Genomic DNA, 20,881 nt, shown 5'->3' on the forward strand with positions numbered 1-20,881 from the left:
GGGGACATGGATCATCATAAACATCTACATCTTTATCATCTTTGTGTTGAGTAGGCGGAGGAAGAGGAAGAAGAAAAGTTGGTCTTGCTGACTCAGTGGTTGCAGAGGTGGAAGAAAATCCACATATAAATGGACTCACACATTTCAAATCTGTGTTGTTTAAGGGTCCACCATATACAGAAAACCCAAAAGACTCCACCAAAAAACTGCTAGAGCTAATAAACAAATTCAGTAAAGTTGCAAGATACAAAAATCAGCAGTATTTTTATACATCAATAGTAAACTATCTGAAAAAGAAATCAAGAAAACAATCCCACTTACAATAGTTACAAAAAACATATACTTAGGGATAAGTTTAACCAAGGAGGTGAAAGATCTTCACACTGAAAACTATAAAACATTGATGGAGGAAATTGAAGAGGACACAGATAAACAGAAGGATAGCCCATCTTCATGGACTGGAAGAATTAATATTGTTAAAGTGTCTACACTACCCAAAGTGATCTACAGATTCAACGTAATCTCTAACAAAATACCAATGGCATTCTTCACAGAAATAGAAAAAAGAATCCTAAAATTTGTAAGGAACCACAAAAGATCCCGAATAGCTGAGGCAAACTTGTGGGGAAAAAAAAAAGAAGAAAGAAAGCTGAAGATATCACTCTATCTGACTTCAAAATGTACTACAAAGCTATAGCAACCAAAATAGAATGATACTGATCTAAAAATAGACACACAGACCAATGGAATAGAGAGCCCAGAAAAAAAATGCATATACAGGCAAAGGTGTGAAGAACAAACATTGGGGAAAATACAATCTTCAGTAAATGGTGCTGAAAAAAAAATGGATGCCCATATGCAGAAGAATGGAACTAGGTACATATCTCTCATCACATATAAAAATCAACTCAAAATGGATTAAAAACTTAAATGAAAGACCGAAAGCTATGAAACTACTGGAAGAAAACATAGGGAAAACACTTCATAATATTGGACTAGGCAACAATTTTTTGGCTATGACTCTAAAAGCACAGGTAACAAAAGCAAAAGTAGACAAATGAGATTACATCAAACTAAAAAGCTTCTGCTGCACAGTAAAGGAAACAATCAACAAAGTGAAGAGATAACCCACAGAATGGAAGAAAATATTTGCAAACTACCCTTCTAAAAAGGATTAATAACCAGAATATATAAGAAACTCAACTAAATAGCAAAGCAAACAATCTGATTTTAGAACGGGCAAAAGATCTGAATAGATACTTTTCAAAAGAAGATATACAAATGGCCAATAGGTATATGAAAAAAATGCAACATCACCAATCATCACGAAAATGCAAATCAAAACCACAATGAGATATCATTTCACCAAGTTTGAATGGCTATTCACAAAAAGACAAAACATATCAAGTGCTGACAAGGATGTGGAAAAAGGGGAACACTCACATACTATCAGTGGAAATGTAAATTCGTACATTCATTATGAAAAACAGTATGGACTTCCTAAAAATATAAAAAGAGAACTGCCCTATGATCTATCTGGCAATCCCATTACTGGGTATATATCCAAAGAAAATGAAGTCATTGTGTCGAACAGATATGTGCACTCCCATGTTTATTGCAGCACTATTCACAATAGCCAAGATATGAAGTCAACCTAAGTGTCCATATGGATGAATTGAGAAGGAGAATGTGGTATACATACACGAGGAAATACTATTTTAGCAATAAAAAAGAAAGAAATGCTGTCATTCACAGCAACACAGATGAGGTTGGAGAACATTATGTTAAGCGAAATAAGCCAGCCACACAAAGGCAAATACAGCATAATCACTCTATACCTCATATGTAGTACAATTATTGTGTCAATTAAAATTTAAAATGTAATAGCAAAAAAATACAATAAATACTCAACTGAAAACAGAAGAGAACATCCTAAACATGAAAAAGGAAATTTGTGAAAAACCTACAGCTAACATCAATACTCAATAGTGAAAGACTGAAAGCTTTCCCCCTAAAATCAGGAACAGGACACCAGTGCCTCTTTTCACTACTTTTACTCAACACTGTACTGGAAGTTCTAGCCAGAGCAATTAGGCAAGGAAATAAAAGACATCCAAATTGAAAATGAAGAAATAGAATTCTCTTTTCAGAGATGACATGATCTAATATTTACAAAATCCTAAAGAATCCACAAAATGAGCTATTAGAGCTAATAAATATATTAATCTCTGTTTTGTATTCTTTGTGAGTGCCTCAGCCTGCAGAAGCTTTGGAAAAATATAGCAAACATTACCAGCACACTCCTGATTTGTCTCATTTTTCTTTTCTTTGTTGGGGAAGGGAAAGACAAGTAGAAGATACAGAGGAAGAGTAAATGAATCAAACAAACGTTATCTTGACTGGTTGTATTCCTACAAATCAACTATAATTTCTTATTTATTTCCCTAAGCAGGTAACAGCAAAGCCCTGAAAACCAAAAGGAATTGGGCTCTTGTTTTCAGAAGCAGCAATGTATGGGTGATATGAGGACAGAGTATCCTACTCCATAGCCAGGCTTGTACAGATGGTGGCAGCTATCCAAGGAGAAGCAAGGAAGCTGAGACCCTGGGACCTGCTATAAGAAAGGAGGGAAAAACTTAAGAACTTACTGAATGTTGTAGGGCACAGTACTAGGATTGAGTACCCCATACATAGTGAAGCCTTTATAGAGAGGGTTCCTGAAGTCTGGTTTCCTCTGAACCAAGAAAGGCCACACAGAATGTGTTTTCTCATAGACTCTGTTAGAAAAGAAAAACAAGCCAAAAAATTAAAAGCAGGAAGCAAGTAATCTCAATAGTCCTGTTGAACTGATAAGCAGCAAATTTTACTAATAAGTAACCCAGCTCAAGAAAGGACGACAGGATATGACAGAAGAAAAATAAGTGGATAAAAAGTGTTGATGGAGTAACAAATTATCTGGGCTTCAATTTATCCATCTTTAAAATAAATGAGAGGTTAGAAAGAGTTCCATATTGGAGAACAGGAGATTCTAAGTCCAGTCTCTGTGTGGAATAGCTGTGTGATCTTAAGAAAATCCCGAGTTTTTTTCTGGGCCTATTTCCTCACCGTTAAATGTGACCTCTAAGTTATCTTCCAAATCAAGGATTTTATGAACTAATGACTTTTCTGGTTTTAAAAATTCTGGAATTGCTTTTACAAGTCTGGTAAGTTAAGTGATAGGTTCTATGGGGTGAATTTCTGGCTCTTCTATATTTCATTTTACTTAAAGCCAGCTACTTCTCCCTTCAGAAGGTTTAAGACAGTGAAAGACAATTGGAAATTTATACTAGAAAATGTCATGAGTTATCCCAGGTGGGCAACTAAAGATTATGGCATTTATATTACAAAATTGATTCTTATACTTTAGTTCAGACCATGGGGAGGCTGCTTAACCAGTAAGCAAGTCCCTTAGTTAACACCTCAAAATACATGAGATCCACTGGTTCCCAAAGAGAGTTACTGTATAACCACCCATGAGAAGGTCATTTGCACACACACCATGTCAAAGGAAGCTAAAGGAGAACTGAAGAGTGATATAAGTGGTAAGACCTAAAATTGTGGTCTTGTAACTTTTGCAATTGTCAGAGCATTTCAGTGAGGCCAAAGGCTTTGTACATCCATCTTTCTCATTTGCTGTTGGTTTATAACAGAAAAAAAAAAATATTGCGTTGGTAAGGTAACTAATTTGTTGAGTATTTACTATGTGTTCAAACACTATTCCAGACTCTTTACCTAAAATACCTCCTTAAATTTTCCCAATAAAACCTTGTGAGATATTTTAGCCCAAAATTACTAATGAGAAAATGAGACTAAATATTAATTTGCTCAAGGTCACATAGCTAGTAGGTGAGAGAGCCAAAGTTTGAACCCAAGTCTGCCTGATTCTAAAGCCCATCCTTTTCTGTTCATGAATGAATGACACTTCTGCTTATTTTAAGTAATCACTATTTTAAAATATGTTAAAATGTTCAACTGTTATGTTTTTTAAATGGATATTCAGATTTGTGTGAAAAATACCACATATATTGACCAATTTTAAGAGAAGGAAAAAGATTATGGAAAAGATTCTGTGTTTTAACGCGTAGGTAAACAAAGACAGAATGAATATCTTAAAAGAATTTGGGGAGAAAGTGACAAAGGTCTAGTTGTAAAGACAGAGAGAGAGAAACATGCATGGCATCAAGAGAGAAACTACCAAGTAAGTACAAATGTTGAAACAGAAAGACTCATTATTGTTCTCTATGTTGACAGGAAAACCAAATCACAGAGAAGTAACTTCATCTTGCTATGCTATAAAGGGGCCTGAGGGTTGGGCTAACTACTAACTCAGCCAACAGCTGTGAAATAGGAGTGAGTTGTGAAACAGCTACTATCCTATTTCTTTTTCTCTGTCTCTAACATAATGAAAATACTGTTCACAGGAGCTCTACCTTGTCAATTTTGAAAAGTACTTATGTCTCATATATTGCCAAGCTGTTAGTTTAAGTGAGGGGTGCAAACTCAACTGCCTACTAGAACTAGGCAGATAACATTAGAAATGGGCTAAGAATAAACTATAGAGAATGGTAAGAACTGCAGTCAACAAGAGTGAGTTTGCCTCATCCAAATGGAACAGCTACTATTCAGCTCTAGCTGTTTATTATCATGAGAAAATAGTCTAGTATTGCCAGAGCTCCTGATTTTTCAGAATATTTAGAAAAAACATCCTAAAATAACTGGATTTTAATGTGAAATCTACTGATATTTAAATGTTAGCAACTAGGCATAAGAATGACACAATGGACTTTGGGAACTCAGAGGGAAAGGGTAGGAAGCGGGTGAGGGATAAAAGACTACAAATTGGGTTCAGTGTATACTGCTCAGGAGATGGGTGAACCAAAGTCTCACAAATCACCACTAAAGAACTCATTCATGTAACCAAATACCACCTGTTCCTCAAAAACCTACGGAAATAAACAAAAATGTCGGCAACGAATTAGGAGTTTTAAAAAATACTCCACAGATTAAACAAACCACGCCTGTTGGGTTGGGTTCGGCCTATGAGCTGCTAGTTTGTAATCTCTGATATGAGTGAGAAAGGACTGTAGATAATGACTACTCATACCTGCACAGCAATTAATTATTTGCAAAGGCCTTGTACATCCATTATTTTACTGGATCCTCATGACTGCTCTAAAAAGTAGGCATTATTATCCCTATTTTACAGATGAGATATCTTAGGGTTCTGAGAGATCTCTGTGCAAACATTGAGTGCTTTATGCTTCAAAAGTTCTTTTTATTATTGTTATCTCCTCCCCTTTCTTGACTGCTATGCCAAATTCAGGGTGGTAGGTACATTCTTTTTGCACTGACCACCTTCTCCCTGTTCAGTGTCTTCTCACAAAGTAAATTCACCTTAGATCTTCCCGATCCTTCTGGCAGTTACCAAGGAAGTTTCCAAACTGGCAGGAGAAAACATGGTCATGAATCTCCAGCAGGAAGTTTTCATTAAACTCAAAGGCACAGGGAAACTGTTCCATTAATTGCCAGATACAGTCTAGGAACTGGGTGAAGATAGGGGACACTTCTTTAGAGTCCCCATCGAGGTGGCCACACCTGAGAGATGAAAATAAAGGTAAAGAAAGACACTAGTTAGCATTAAGGATTACACTGTTGGGAATAGGCTGTAAGAGGGTCATCTTTTGTCTCTGTTGGTAGTGGCAAGGAAACACCTCATACCAAAATGCCAGCCAGAATCTCAAAGCTAGTCAATCCCAGCAGACCTCTTAGCTGCTGGTGTCCTTCACTGTCATCCATACTGTAAACCCTTTGGTCATCTAGTCTATTTTTTTATACACCCTCTTTCCAATAGAACTTTCTGCAATGATGGAAAATTTCTACAGTTGTGTTGTCCAATATAGCAGCCACTAACTGTTAAGCACTTGAAATGTGGATACTGTGACTGAGGAACTGAATTTTTAATTGTATTTAATTTTAATTAATTTAATTTAAATAGCTACATTTAGCTCTATGTGAGCAACGACCACATCTATATTGTTTACTGCATAGTGCCTGGCACAAAATAGGTATTAAAGAAACATTTATTAAGTACATGAATGAAACCTCATCCCAGAACTGTTTAATATTTCCTCCCCACAATGTTTTCTTTACCAACCCTATCATCGACTGAAACACTATTCCACTGGAAATGAACACGGCACTCTCAGTTTCTACACTGAATGTTCTCTACCTTCTGATATAATTACAACCTGGCTCACAACGATACCACCTTTCCTTGGGGTCAAATAAAAATGGAGAATGCTGATCATTCCACTTTCCACATACCATAATTCTAAAACAAAGCAGAGGTGGGTTTAGCTTTCTCCTTGCACCTACTGCTGCTTCTGCTGCTTCCAAGCTACTATTCTTTTCATGCCCTTAAGAACACTTCCTTTATGGGTCATGCTATTTAGCTTATTTACCTTCTCCTTCCACAATGCTGTCTTCTAGAATCTCTGTGTCACTTCCCTACATTCTCTGAATAATCTGATGGTCTTAAGCTTTTGTGTTGATGTAGATGACTTACACTAGCTCAACAGATTCCTTAACTAACGCAAATCAAATTACCTTCACTGATCTTTACCTCTACTCCAGCCTTTTGAATCCACTGGCCACAGGCTGGCTAGTAGTTCTTACTCCATCTTTGAAATCTTAATCACGATATCCCACTCTGAACACCATATATTATATTTCCAAAGGCTGCTCATCTTCTTAACTCCTGCAGACCTCATCTCAGGACATCTCCACATGCTAGATTCCTGTTGGCTTCTCTTTTTTCTTATCAAGCCTAAATTCCATGATCTGCCCTATTAACTACTCTCTCCCCATTTTGTTCAGCTTTCTGGTCTTTCTTGTAATTATTTTCCTTCTAAATCCAACCACAGATCAGCCTGAAAAGCTATGTTCTCTGCTTCCACATCCTGACTGATTAATAATGCTCAAGAAAATTATAAAATCATACAAATTCACACCATTCAAATTGAGTCTCCACATTCAGCTGTGTTTTAACTGCTCTCAAATAATCTTTGTGTAGGTCCTTAACAACATTTTCTCATTACCTTTACAGCTCATACAAATTTTCAACTACCTTGTCAAACCCCTAATCCATTTCATATCTTCCTTCACTCCAGTGCCACTGAAAAATATCAAGGCCATTAAGTAGAAAAAAAAATTTCTAACTTCTGCCTCTAATATTCACATATAGCACCTTTTCTGCCTGTCTTTCCACCTAATCTCCATGGAAAAGGTGTTCTTCATTATAGCTCAAGCTAATCTTTCGTTTGGACTGGAACTTTCACCGATTTGCCCAGAAGTCTTACTCTACCAAAAACTCACTGTTTTGGCATATCTTCCACCTTATCTTCTTTAATGTTTCTTTCTTCTCAGCATAAGAAACTGCTCAAATATCTCCTGTCTTGAAATACACTTCCTCAGACCCAAACCCGACCCCTTCTCTTCTACCCCCTTGAGAGCCAAGGTTCTTGGAAAGAGATTTATATACTCACATTCCACTTCTTCATCCCTCACTCATGCCTCCATTCACAAACATTTGGCTTCTGCTTTCACCACTTTGCTCAACCAGTTATCACTAAAGATCATTAAAACCTGCATATTGCCAAAGTCGATTCTTGGGTTATTCTGAGGCATATGACACTGCTGACTACTCCCTTGAGATTCTCCTCTCTTATGTTTCTTCTTTCCTATCCTTAGATTTATTCTTATCTCACTAATCACTCTTTCACAGTCAACTTCATGGACTTCATTCTTCACTAGACTTTCAGGTGTCAGTATTATCCAAGGCTCTGTCCCACCCCTTGGCTCTTCTTCCTCTTTATACAATTTTTTGAGTTACCTTATCTGAATCCATGGTTTAAACTACCAATTATATGCAGATAACTCTTAAACCTCTACACCACCTCTCTATCCAACCCAGAACTAGTGAGCTCCAGATTACTACTGAATAGTCTCCCTACTAGATATCTTCTCCTGGATGCCCTATGCCAAATAAGTCCCAAACTGAAGCCATCTTCCCCACCAAACCTGCCCTGTATTATCCTATATCCTCTATCTCAATAAACCCAGCTACCTCAGGCAGAAACCTTTGAGTTTTATTGGACTTTTTCTCCCATCTCCTGGTGAGTTCTACTTCCTGAATACCCTTGTATCTATATCATTGCTTCTGTCTTTTTTTCAGGCCCTCATCAATTCTGGTAGCCTACTAATTCAGCCCCTTGCCACCAATTTCAATCTTCTACATGCTGTCAGAGGGATATTTGTAAAATATAGATCTGAACATCATGTCACTGCCTTGTTCAAAGTCCTCCAATATAGCTTTACTATGTACACAAAACACTCAAATCTTTCAGCTTAAAAAAAAAAAAAAAAAAAAAAAAACAGGGCTCTGAATGATCTTCTCCTCACTGGCTCGGCTTCCCTGGCCTCATTTCCTCTATTCTCCCTACACACCCTTTGACCCAGCCACACTGAATTGCTTGCAGCTCCTCAAACACGTAATCCTGTTTAATGCCTTTATGGTTTCAAACACATCAGGGCTAGAATGCTTTCTCCCTTTCTAAATAACATCTACTCATACTTTAAATCTCAGTTAAAATGTCACCTATTACAGGAAGCCTTCTTTGCCCCAGAATGGATAAACGTCCTTTGTTTATGTTTTCCTCTGTCTTAAGCACTTATCATACTACACCGTCATCACTGATTTTTCTTTTCTTTCAAAGATGAGATAGGAACTATATCTGATTCAGCTCTGTCTTCTCAATACCTAACATAATGACTGGTCCAATGTTTGTGGGTGAAGGAAGAATAAATAAATGGACCCAAATGGCTAGAGAGTGGCAACCAAATGAAATTAAATTAATGCATATCAATGGGGGAAAATAAGACCTGAATTATAATCTCCTTGGGGTAAAACTCAATTTTTTTTTTTTTTGAGATGGAGTTTCAGTCTTGTCACCCAGGCTGGAGTGCAATGGCATGGCCTCAGCTCACTGCAACCTCCGCCTCCCGGGTTCAAGTGATTCTCCTACCTCTGCCTCCCAAGGAGTCAGGATTATAGGCACCCGCCACCATGTCTGGCTAATTTCTGTATTTTTAGTAGAGAAGGGGTTTCACCATATTGGCCAGGCTGGTCTCGAACTCCTGACCTCAGGCGATTTGCCCGCCTTGGCCTCCCAAAGTGCTAGGATCACAGGTATGAGCCACTGCACCCGGCCAAATCTCAAATTTTATTTGCCTTTGGAATCAGCTTAGTGTCTGATATAATATACAGCACATTGTTAGGCATTTGACAAATATTTATCGATTGTTCTGATAACACAGGTAAAGCCTTAGTGAGGCAGTTTGGTTTATAGCAGACAACAGATAAATATAAGCCCTTGTCCTCATCCCTTAAAAAAGAACAAATCTGCCCCTTTTATCTTACAAAAGGTTAAAAGGTGCATTGTCTTGATATTAGTCCCTCTGAATGACCTCATCATTCCCTTGTTCTTCCTGTTAAATTTCTATTCATTTCCAAAAATTCATCCTCAAATGCTGTGTACTCCTGGAAGCCTACCCTGACCTCTTCGTGCAATGTTAAGCACTTTTCCTTCTGTAGCCTGTGATGCCTTGTTCTTCCTTGAAATATTTAACAATTTGATATAATTACTTGTACTCCTTGAAAACAGGGATAATATTCTGGTTACTTTTGTCACCTTAGTGCCCTAGCATAGTATCTAGAATACTTGTTTCTTGATGAAAAGAGATTTATGCCATGTTCAACTTCCTCTTCCTTCCTTTACATGTACATACTGAGGTTTTGATATACTTCACCCTAATGAACTATCCTCAGCCCCTTCCTTCAAAATGAGTATATTTTTACCTTTGGGAAAACTTGTGGCCCATGGATATCCATTCCTTCTCTATCAAGATCTTCATTTTATAGAAAAGAAAGTGTTTGCATTAGGAAAATCATAAAATGAATTAACCATACACACAAGAATGTCAAAACACTTTGCTGAAATAGTTGAACTGATCATAAAATAGTTAATTTCCTAAATGATAAATAAGTAAGTAACTTAGATTTCATTCATAAGCCTATACAGGGTGCCTTCAAATTTCAGATGCTCTCAGACATATCCAGAGTCAAATTTCCTTTGGCTTTCACATGTGTGACAAGCCACTGAGCCATAACTAAATGCAATCCTGATAAGCACGATATTAAATTCACACTTTGAAAAACAGAAATCCAAAGGCAGCTCTTAGCTTTATACCAGTAACAAAACCATTTTTAACCATTAAAAAAAAAAAAAAAATTCTAGCCAGGCATGGTGGCTTACACCTGTAATCCCAGCATTTTGGGAGGCCGAGGAGGGCAGATCACATGAGGCCAGGAGTTTGAGACCAGACTGGCCAATGTGGTAAACCCAGTCACTACTAAAAATACAAAAATTAGCCAAGCATGGTGGTGCACATCTGTAATCCCAGCTACTTGGGAGGCTATGGCACAAGAATCACTTGAACCCAGGAGGTGGAGGTTGCAGTGAGCCAATATCGCACCACTGCACTCCAGCCTGGGTGACAGAGTAAGACTACTTCAAAACAAAAAAACAAAACAAAACAAAAAAAAGCTTTCCAAAGAAATGAGAATAAACCACTATGGTGAGTTCTGTTTCTTAGAAAGATCAACTAAGAGGCTTTAGATTCAGCATTAGAAAACAATCATAAGTCTGACATTCAAACAGCTGACATGTTAAAGATGATGAGCCCCTTGGACAGTCTATTTGACAGTCATCCATTAAGCTCTGCAAACTTTTTGAGCTTTTCCTACTCTGTACAGTAGTCTGCTACATATAACTTACCTTCTGATAGGTAAGAAGTATGTTGAACATACAAAAGAAAGTATACAGATAGTACACACCTAAATTTAATGAAAAGAAGCTAAATTGGAAAAGCTATTTTTGTAGACTTAGAGCTAACTCTGGCAAAAAAAATATTGTTTGACAGTTATTTTTTATTTTGTCGCAATCTGTCTCTTACACAAAGTAAAATATAGTAGCGTGCTCTCTTACCATGAGTCCTTTGAATGTCCTATAAAATGGATCTAGGAGGATGCTAGCCACTGAGCAGACTTGTGCTGTGCGGTCCCATCCATCAGAACAATGGACTAAGACACTGGCCTTTTCTACCTTCACTGCCTGTGAAGACAAGAGGCAAAAAAGTACCACAAGCAACCTTTGCACAGCTTGTTGGATTAAAGAGTTGCCAAATACTGTCCCTAAAGCACAGAGAACCTGGTCTTATGGGCTACATTAATTTTTTCTCATAACATTAACATCCTCTATGGGGAATGAAAAGGAAAACAATGGAGTTCAAGAGAAGGAGAGCTTACCACATAGGAAAAGAATATCAAAACTAACCCATAATGCAGGGCAAAAAGAAAGATGAGGGGAGTTCTAAATTCACTAAACTTCTGAAGAAACCAAGGATCAATTCTCAGAGGAATAGGTGAACTGGAGGAAGAATTCACACTCAAAAACACAGACAGCTCTGCATTCTAGTCCCAGATCTGACAACAATCTCCTCTAGCTGTTTTAGTGTTACTAACACAAATGCTTTCAACTTAAGATGGAGGTGCTTGCCTGTCTTAGGTCGCTTTAACAAGTGATTGTATAAACACAATCAGAATGATGTAAAGATCTGGGCAGTTATTTAACCTGGGAAATTTTGGCAATGGTACATATTGACCACTCATTTATTCATTCTAACAATTTTGTGCCTCTATGTGCCAGGTATTAGAAATACAAAGACTCAGTTTCTGCTTTCAAGGAACCCACAAACTAGTCAGGGTGACCGAAAATAAATAAATAATTAAAATACAATGGAAAAACTACTGGTAATATACAGTAATGTGTAGTAACAATATTCTTTTGCAGGAGCCAGGGAAGCTTGACCCTTGAAGAAAGAGCTGGGTTTCCTTAGGTGAAGAAGGACATTAATTCACCCATTCATTCATCCACACACCTAGCCAATAATTACTGAGTGACTGTACAAGAGGCACTATGATGTGCATTGGGAATACAAAAGAGACAAACACTTAAATGCATGACTGCAAACCAATGAAAAATAAAAGGGGAAAATCCATGCCAGGTATAACAAAGGCACAAAAGATAACCAGCAAGGAGGAGACAACTAAGGTGGGTCTGGAAAGATGAATAAGAATTTACCAGATGGACCAGGAGGAAAGGACATTCCAGGCTGGGGAATGATGTAACAGCGTGTACATTGCAAGGAGGCATGACATAGAGGAAGAACAATTAATGACTCAGGCTAAGCTGGAAGTGAGAGAATAAGGAGAGATAGAGCCAGCTAGGAGGACAAGGGTCAGACCAATCAAGTATACATTTTATCTGATGGCAATAGGGAGTTGGAAGCAGAGGAGTGCCATGATCAGATGTACATCTTTGAAAGATCACTGTGGTGGCAGTAAGGAGAATGGATTGAGAAGACATGAGTTTGGATACAGGAAGACCAGTTAGGAAGCTACTAAAATCGTGGAAGTCCATATAGGCCTGAGGTAAGGTAGTAGCAGTGGAGCTGAAAAACAGAAGAAGGATTTTAATTATGAACATTTTAACAGGACAGAGTGAGAGACTAGTCATGGGATGAAAGAAAAGGAAAAGTTAAAGATAACTCTGAAATGTGTGGTTTAGCAACCAGGTGGATGGTAGTGCCATTAGACTAAATAATGAACACAAAAGCAAGTTTTAGGTAGTAGTGGTGGTATGTAAGAAGATTTATGTTTTGGCCATGGTGAGTTTGAGGTAGTTCGGGAACATCTAATGGAAAGTCCAGTGAGACAACTGGATATGTGGGTTTGAAGTTCAGGAGAGGGAAAGATCTGAACCAGAGTATAGATTTCACCACTATCTGAATAGAGATAGTAGTATACACTGTGTGCATAGTTGATGCTGCCCAGGCAGAGACCAAATGTGACAAAAGAAAAGACCTTAAAAAGCAGTGACCCTTAAAGGGCAAGCAGAGGAAGGAGGATTATTATAGGAGTCAGCCTGTTCAAAAAAGCCCAAAAGGTAAAAAGAGAGCCAGGAGGGAATAGTTGGATAAAAGTCAGGACTACAAAAAGGGTTCAAAGTGAAAAGGAGTGAACTGTGCCAAACACAACAGAGAGGTCAAAATAGAGTGAAGACTAACAAGTGACTCTTAGATATGACAAGTCAAAGGTCATAAGACCTCTGGAAGAGCAATAGTAATTATATGAAAATTGGATCACAGTGGGCTGAAAGGTGAAGGGAGATGAAGTACTAATAGGAAAGACTAACTACTTTTCAGAAGGCGCCAACCAAGAGGAAAGAGGGCAATAACTAGAAGATTGAAAAAGTACTTTTTCTTTAGGAATGAGAAAATATTTGAGCATACTACTGAGAGAAGAAGCCAGTTGAAAAGAATAGGTTGAAAATGTAAGACAAAGAGGGTTTAACTGACAGAGTTGGTTCCTTAAAGTAGGAAGAGATGGAATTTCAAATATAGGTAGAGTGAGTATCCTTACACAGAAGATGGGGCACTATGTCCACCGAGATAGCAAAGAAGTCGGTAAGGATAATAGTGAGAAGAGGTATTATATACATTTTTCCATGAAGGACATGTTTCAATATGAGCTTACAGAGAGGGGAGTTACCATGGTGTAGCCAGTTTGAAAGCAAGGTACAAGGAATATCTGCTTGGTGAAACAGGACTGGGAGCCAACCAAAAACACATAAAATAACTGTTCAGCTCAGCTAAGACTATAAGGCATAAACCTGTGATGGTACCAACTAACATATCTATGGGATACATCTATTTGCAGCAATGCTTAGAGGTCAGGGTGTAAGAGCAGAGAATGACCGTGGCTAGCAGGGCAGGTAGAGTGGAAGGATAAGAGACAAGGTGGAATGGATGAAGTGCTACACCACCCGGTCTTGGTATATAGGGAAGAAAAAAGAAGTTTGGAAAAAGAGGAGTTAAAAGTACAGAGGTTTCCATGAGATAGAAGAACTATGCTAGCTGGATTAAGGATGTGAAAGCTGGAATTATAAAAAGTCCAAAGAACTGTAAGTGTAGAATGTTTGATAAGTTGTACATTGACACTCAAATCTCTTCAGATGACGGGAAGAACCAGGATGGAAAAGAAGACGGCAAGGCTGTTCCCAACATCCTTAATGGAGGGGGAAGAGTAACTAGAAGGTATAGAGGATGGTATAGCTAAATGAAATAGATCTGAAAGGAGGGGGAGGCTTTTGTAAGGAGCAAGGAGAATAGTGAAACTGCCCTGGGCCATGTGGTTCATATGATGTGGGACAATGAGTAATCTTTGTAATAGGGGTACAAGAAAAAATCGTATTCCTAGAAAGGTAGTCAGGTTTCAGGTAAAAAAGGAGTTAAAGAGATCTGGAAAAAAGTTTTTCAACCTTTTTGACTTCTCAATTAAGCAGACACCTCAGGTAGTAGCAGAACATGACGGCAGCAACCATGTTCTTTGTTTAGGGCTCCAAACAGAGTCAAAAGTCACTGGTGGACAGAAAATGATACTGGATTTCACTAATGATTAAAGAAATACAAATTAAAACATGATACAAAATCTATCACCTATCACATTGGCAAAGATCAAAAAGATTGATGATAACCATTGCTGCCAAAATGGAGAAATAGGCACTGTTGGTAGGAATGGAAACTGGTATTACCTACTTGGAGGGCAATTTGGCCACATCTATTAAAATCTGAAATATTCATACTCTTTGACACAGAAAATCCACTTCTATAAAGATATATGTTTAAGAATATTTGGTGCAGCAATATCTGCATTAGCGAAAAATTAGAAACAACTAAGTTACCACAATTGAATATAACATAGTTGCTGAAAAGAATGACGTAGTACTGACTGAACTGTCTTAAGAAATGCTCATTAAATAGTATAAGTATAAAAGGTCAATTAAAGAACAGTATGGGCCGGGCGTGGTAGCTTACGCCTGTAATCCCAGCACTTTGGGAGGCCAAGGCTGGTGGATCACCTGAGGTCAGGAGTTCGAGACCAGCCTGGCCAACATGGCAAAACCCCGTCTCTGCTAAAAATACAAAAATTAGTCAGGCGTGGTGGCATGCTCCTATAATCTCAGCTACTCAGGAGGCTGAGGCAGAAGAATCCCTTGAATCCGGTAGGCGGAGGTTGCAGTGAACCGAGATCGTGCCACTGCACTCCAGCCTGGGCAACAAGAGCAAAACTCTGTCTCAAAAAAAAAAAAAAAAAAAAAAAAGAGTATGCACAGTATGAGCTCATTTTCACAAAGTATTAATATGTGTAACTCTATATGTTGAAAAATTCTACAGCAGCACTGTCCAATATGGTAGTAACCAGCCACCTATAGCTACTTAAATTTGAATTTGTTAAAACTAAATAAAATCATAAATTCAGTTCCTCAGTCTCACTAGCCACATTTCAAGTGCTCAATTTCCACATGTAGTGGTACTGTATTAGACAGTACAGATACAGAATATTTCCATCATCACAAAAAGTTCAAATGGACAGTGCTGACTGAAGGACATAAACATTAAACTACTATCAGTGATGTGTATGCACTGTGGTACAAACTATGGGGAATGTTTACATTTTATGTTATATATTTCTGAAATGTTTACTTCTTTGATAATGTACATGTATTGCTTTTGTAATGAGAAAATAGGTAAATAAAATAAACATTTAAAAAAGAGAGAGAAAAAGAAGTAACATAGTATGTTAGAGAACAGCAAGAGGTCCACTACAGCCAAGCTGGGGCGACATTGTGAAAGACTCTGAATGTCAAGCTTATGGGGTCTTATTGGCAATAGAATTGATAACCAATGGAGGATTTTGAGTTTAAAGTGACATGATCAGACATGTTCAAGAAAAATAACTTTAGTAGCAATTTGGTTCCCGAACTAAAGAGTAACTACTAGAGACAAGTAAAGCAGTTAAGAGGTTATTACACTGTGAACAATGGATTGTGGCTATCTTAACTAGAGAAATAGCAGTGGAGACTGGGAAGAAAGGACAGATTTGAGAAACACTTTTGAAGCAGAACACATGGGACTTGGCAATAGCCAGATGGAGGAGAAGAGGTAGAGTTCAAGGCTGACTGAAGTTCTCACGCTTGGGATATTGGATAGGTGGTAACAGAGATAGGGAACACAGAAACACTGTGCAATCCAAGCCTATCTTTTTGGTTCATTCATTTTAATTCAACCAATATTTATAAGGCTGTACTGTCTATCAAATCTCCCTCTTATCCATCCTCACTCTCTTTGGTCTAATAAATTTGGTTTCAGAAAGGGACTATAGATATATGGATGTAGAATCTATGAAAAAGGAACAGAACAAAGAATAGTTAGAATAGTGGGCTTGAAACAACTGACAGGGTCACATAGTGAACATCAATAACAATGAAAAGTGCAGGCAACAGGATTAGGAAAGCAAAAAGCATTAGGGCTTGGATATTTAAGGCAGTTCATTATATACAATCTTCAAACCTTTTAAGCCAGAAGTTATATATAACATTGCCTTCAACTGAGAAAATTATAGCAGATGTATGAAAAGTCATTATCTCCTTTGCTTTTACCAAATAATGGGGGTGGGATGAAGAGGTAGAGTACTCATGTAGAAATACATAAAAACAAAACGTCAAAATGAGAAAATATACACTGAATTTTGTTTTTGTTTTTGTAAGAAAACAAACCACTTAACAAAGGCTACAGAGCCTAGGGTCCTAGAGATCAGAAAATAAATGAGTCAGCATAAATACAGGGTGACAAAGCCTGCCTAGACTGCATTTGGAGGCAGATCTATACAAAGAAGTTTAAAAAAATAGGTCTTTGTACTCAGAGTTCTGAAAACTCATAGATACATAAGCTCTGCATTTATTTCACACCCACCCTTGTACTTAATACCTTAGAATCAACACAAAAATATATCACAGAATAACTGAGCTAGAGATCAATTATTATCAATTATCAATTAGAGATCACCTAAGAGTTTTTAATGTGAAGTCCAGGGGTCTGTGGACCCCCTGAAATTGAGGTTCATTTTCTGTATGTATCATCATATGTTCATTTTTCCAGTGGGGGAGAGGGTTAATCATATTCCCAAAGAATTCTGTGGCCACCTAAAAGTTACATCATTAGATTATAGTTCAACCACCTTGTTTAAAGATGGAGACACTGAGACCCAGAGAAGAAAAGAGACTTGCCCAAGGGCACACAGTGAATTAGTGGCAGAGCTGAATCTAGAAACTAGATTTCTTTTCAATATTCTTTCCACCATGGCACACTACTACTTCAATATATCCCATAATTAAAGTCAGTGCAAATTTTAAAAGTCCTGATTATTACCTTTGTAATGAAAATTCCAGCATCCATAATAGCTTTAATGTGTCTTAACCACCCTGAGCTCTCCAGGCCGCTAAGAAATTCACTCATTGTTGGAGTTTTCAATTCACAAACTAAGGTAGAAAAGGAAGCAGAGATTGAAATTCACAATCAACTCAGTTTATTCATTAAGGGGAGAAAGTGGATCTCCATATCGTAAGTGAGGAAGCTGAGGCAGAAAGGTTAAATGATTAGTTAGAAACCACACAGTGAGTCAGGGACAGAACTAGGTCTAAAGCCTACCAGATCTCCTCGCCTGGGCCTCTGCTTTATCATGCTGTAGAACCCACTCTCAAGCCCTTAGAAATCTCTCAAGAAGAGAGCCAGAAGACTGAATTAGCATCTACAGGAAAACACACCTCCTCTGATTAGAAAACATATTTGATCCCTATCCTAATCCCACCCACTTATGCTAACTCTGAAGGCCCTCAGCATCTGTCTCTACTCCCACACCCCCATCTACTCCCTGTAGCCCTGTTCTGTCAACAGGTTGAAAAAAAAAATACCAGTTAATTTTTATGCACTTTGCAATAATTATCCAGCAGAGGGAAATCTTTTGCCTTAAAAATCTGTAAAACAAAGTCCTCTTCCATAAAATATTCTGGGGCAAAAAAGAAAGGAGTAAGAGACCTAAGGAAGAGGGATATTAATATTTTAAAAGGGATGCAGACTGAGCAGATGAGATCTGGCAAGGGTGATGTAAAGGAGAGGTCATGGCAGACTACGCAAGTACAAAGTTGAAGAAAGAAGAGGAAGAATGGGGAGTTCACTAAAGAAGGCAGGTTTTCACTATCTCTGCCTGAGTTGACATAGAACATCATGGAATCCTGGGTAGTGGTTTTAGGAGAAATGCTCTACACCCAAGAGTCTTGTAAGGCCCCAATCCCACCTTGCCCCCTTTCTGACCCTAATCATTTTGTAGTCGATAACAGATCACCAAAACTGTCTGATATCAACTTTATTCTTTTGAGGTCTAAATTCAACTTCATCAGCACAGTGATGAAATCAGACTGAATCCTTATACCAAATTAAAGAAGATAATTTCTTACCTTAAGGATGATAAAATGAATCCCAAATTTATTTAATACTTATGCTGGTTTGCCTATCCCTGAAAATCAACCTCTGTATTTCCACAGAGAGAAATAATTTTCATACCAACTAGACCCAGATGAACTTTATTGAATTATGAAACTGCACATCTTAGTCCCTTTTCCAGATCAACACTGCTATAATTCAGTACTATTTAAGCTAGATTTGTACAATAGTTAAACACCTAACCACTTATTGACTCTGCTCACCTGCTTGCTTTTATATTCCACCCCAAATCAGGCATGCTTTCTGCTTACATGATAACGCAAAGCTATGGCCGCTTGCCTAGCCAAGGTGAAATCCCTGTACCTTCCAAGAGTTTCTGCAGACTGCTCCGCATTACATGGATGTTCTCAATGCCCATGAATCTGAAGCGAATGTTGGCATAGTTGTCTTCATTTTCATACCCCTTCCCAGCTGCTCGGTTGGCCATGGCATTCAACTGCAATAGCAGAGGACATAATAGAGCAGATAGGCCAGATGATGAAAGAATGGAGTTCATCAATCTCAATGCCTCATTCTGAACCGTTTAAAATCCTACCCAATTAAAAAGAAGTTAAATCAGATGAGATACATTCTGGAATGGAGAGAATTTCACTAGTTTTTACATCAGGTACTTTTAGTAACAGACTCATATAGGGGAAAAATAGGGAGATACAGTGTTTTGTTTCATTATGAAAACCTTTCTTAAGAGAGAAAAGTTATGGCAGCTATGAGGATATCTGATCTAAAAAACTGAAATAATAATTTTGAGCTGCCTACCACAAATGTTTTCTCAGCTGAAAGGGTTTTATACTGAGAAACATGCAAAAGTTCAAAAATATTTACAACTGAGAAGCTCTAGAAAGAAGCCTAAGAACTTCAGGATGAATTAATTTTATTTATTTATTTAAGAGACAGTGTCTCACTCTGTCATTAAGGCTGGAGTGCAGCAGCACAATCACAAGGTTCAATGCAGCCTTGAACTCCTGGGCTCAGGCAATCCTTCTGCCTCAGCCTCCTGAACAGCTAAGACTACAGGCACGTACCACCATGCCTGGCTAATTTTTTTTACAAAAAATGTTTTTTGTAAAGACAGTCTCGCTGTTCCCCACACTGGCCTTGAACTCTTGGACTCATGTAATCCTCTTGCCTTGGCTTCCCAAAGTGCTGGGATTACAGGCATAAGCCACCACATACAGCCCAATTAAATAGCTATTCTAGAAAAATGTCTAAAATGTGACTGCATGAGATAAATGACTTTTACTCACTGACAAAATTGAAATGGAGACATCACCAACTGTTTTAACACTATGTTCAGTTTGTGGTAATCAGAAAATCTCTAGGTCATATGAAGAATGCTGGGTGGGGTAGGGAGTAAATGAGACTTGTGGAAATATGAATATAATAACCAGAAGGCAGCCAAGATACTGTCTACGATAATGACCATCTTACTAATTAAGTGATTTTCTGTTTTCTGGGCCTATTTTCTCATCTCCCAATATTGTGCATTTCAGAAGGCAGGAGGAGCATGTATGTGGACAGGGTATAATTTTTGTATTAAAAGAATACAAAAACCTCAAGACACAAACTATTCAAGTTAGAACATGCAGAGGGAAAAAAGTCAGTGTGCTAAACATATTCTGTTTACAATGCAAGACATCTGTTAAAAGGGGAAATGTGATGGTAATTTTGATCTTTTATCACATTGATAGTGTTACTGAGCTTTCATTAAATTAATGACAAATGTCAAAGGAACACCCGTGGAAGCATAAGCAATAGTCACCTAGTAGCAAGGATGTTTGTTATGAGTGATGCTTCAGCAAAAATAATAATAATAATAATAATTACAGTAGTCACTACCCAGGCCTGGGTAGGCCACCTAATGCAGATAACTAGCTACCTCATACCAGTATTCACTCTTTAAAAATATGTCTGGCAGATCTGAGTAACAGATACCTATTTAATGTTCAGGTGGCAAACTGAGAGGAAAATGGAGAGACAAAAATGGAACCTGTTAAAAGGGGCTTTTTGGTGTTGGATTTGAACAAAATGCACCAACCCTTTTGTTTCTTCAAAAGCTTGGTGTAGTTCTCTTTACTATTTTAAGATTATTTAATCTTTAAAGATACAGACGCGATTAAACTCTTTCCAATTGCAGAATGTCAGATGTAATATTTATTGTAATGTAATATTTATTGAGCTCCTATTATATGCCTGACACTGTGCTAAATCCTTTATGTACATTATCTCACTTAATCCTCATTACAGCCTCTCAAAATGGGTGCTA

General features: G+C 37.8%; 1 protein-coding gene across 1 annotated transcript in view; it reads right to left on the reverse strand.

Moving 5' to 3' along the window:
* MTMR8 (myotubularin related protein 8) overlaps positions 1-20,881 on the reverse strand; it is a 127,372-nt gene that overhangs the window by 58,043 nt on the left and 48,448 nt on the right. Inside the window, exons 7-12 of the mRNA NM_017677.4 lie at positions 18,922-19,054; positions 17,488-17,597; positions 11,145-11,270; positions 9,956-10,005; positions 5,434-5,634; positions 2,649-2,777 (exon numbers count right to left, since the gene is read on the reverse strand). Coding sequence (NP_060147.2) covers positions 2,649-2,777; positions 5,434-5,634; positions 9,956-10,005; positions 11,145-11,270; positions 17,488-17,597; positions 18,922-19,054 — 749 coding nt within the window. The remainder of the gene's footprint in view (positions 1-2,648; positions 2,778-5,433; positions 5,635-9,955; positions 10,006-11,144; positions 11,271-17,487; positions 17,598-18,921; positions 19,055-20,881) is intronic.

This window comes from Homo sapiens, chromosome X (genome assembly GCF_000001405.40).
Source record: "Homo sapiens chromosome X, GRCh38.p14 Primary Assembly".
NCBI lineage: Eukaryota > Metazoa > Chordata > Mammalia > Primates > Hominidae > Homo > Homo sapiens.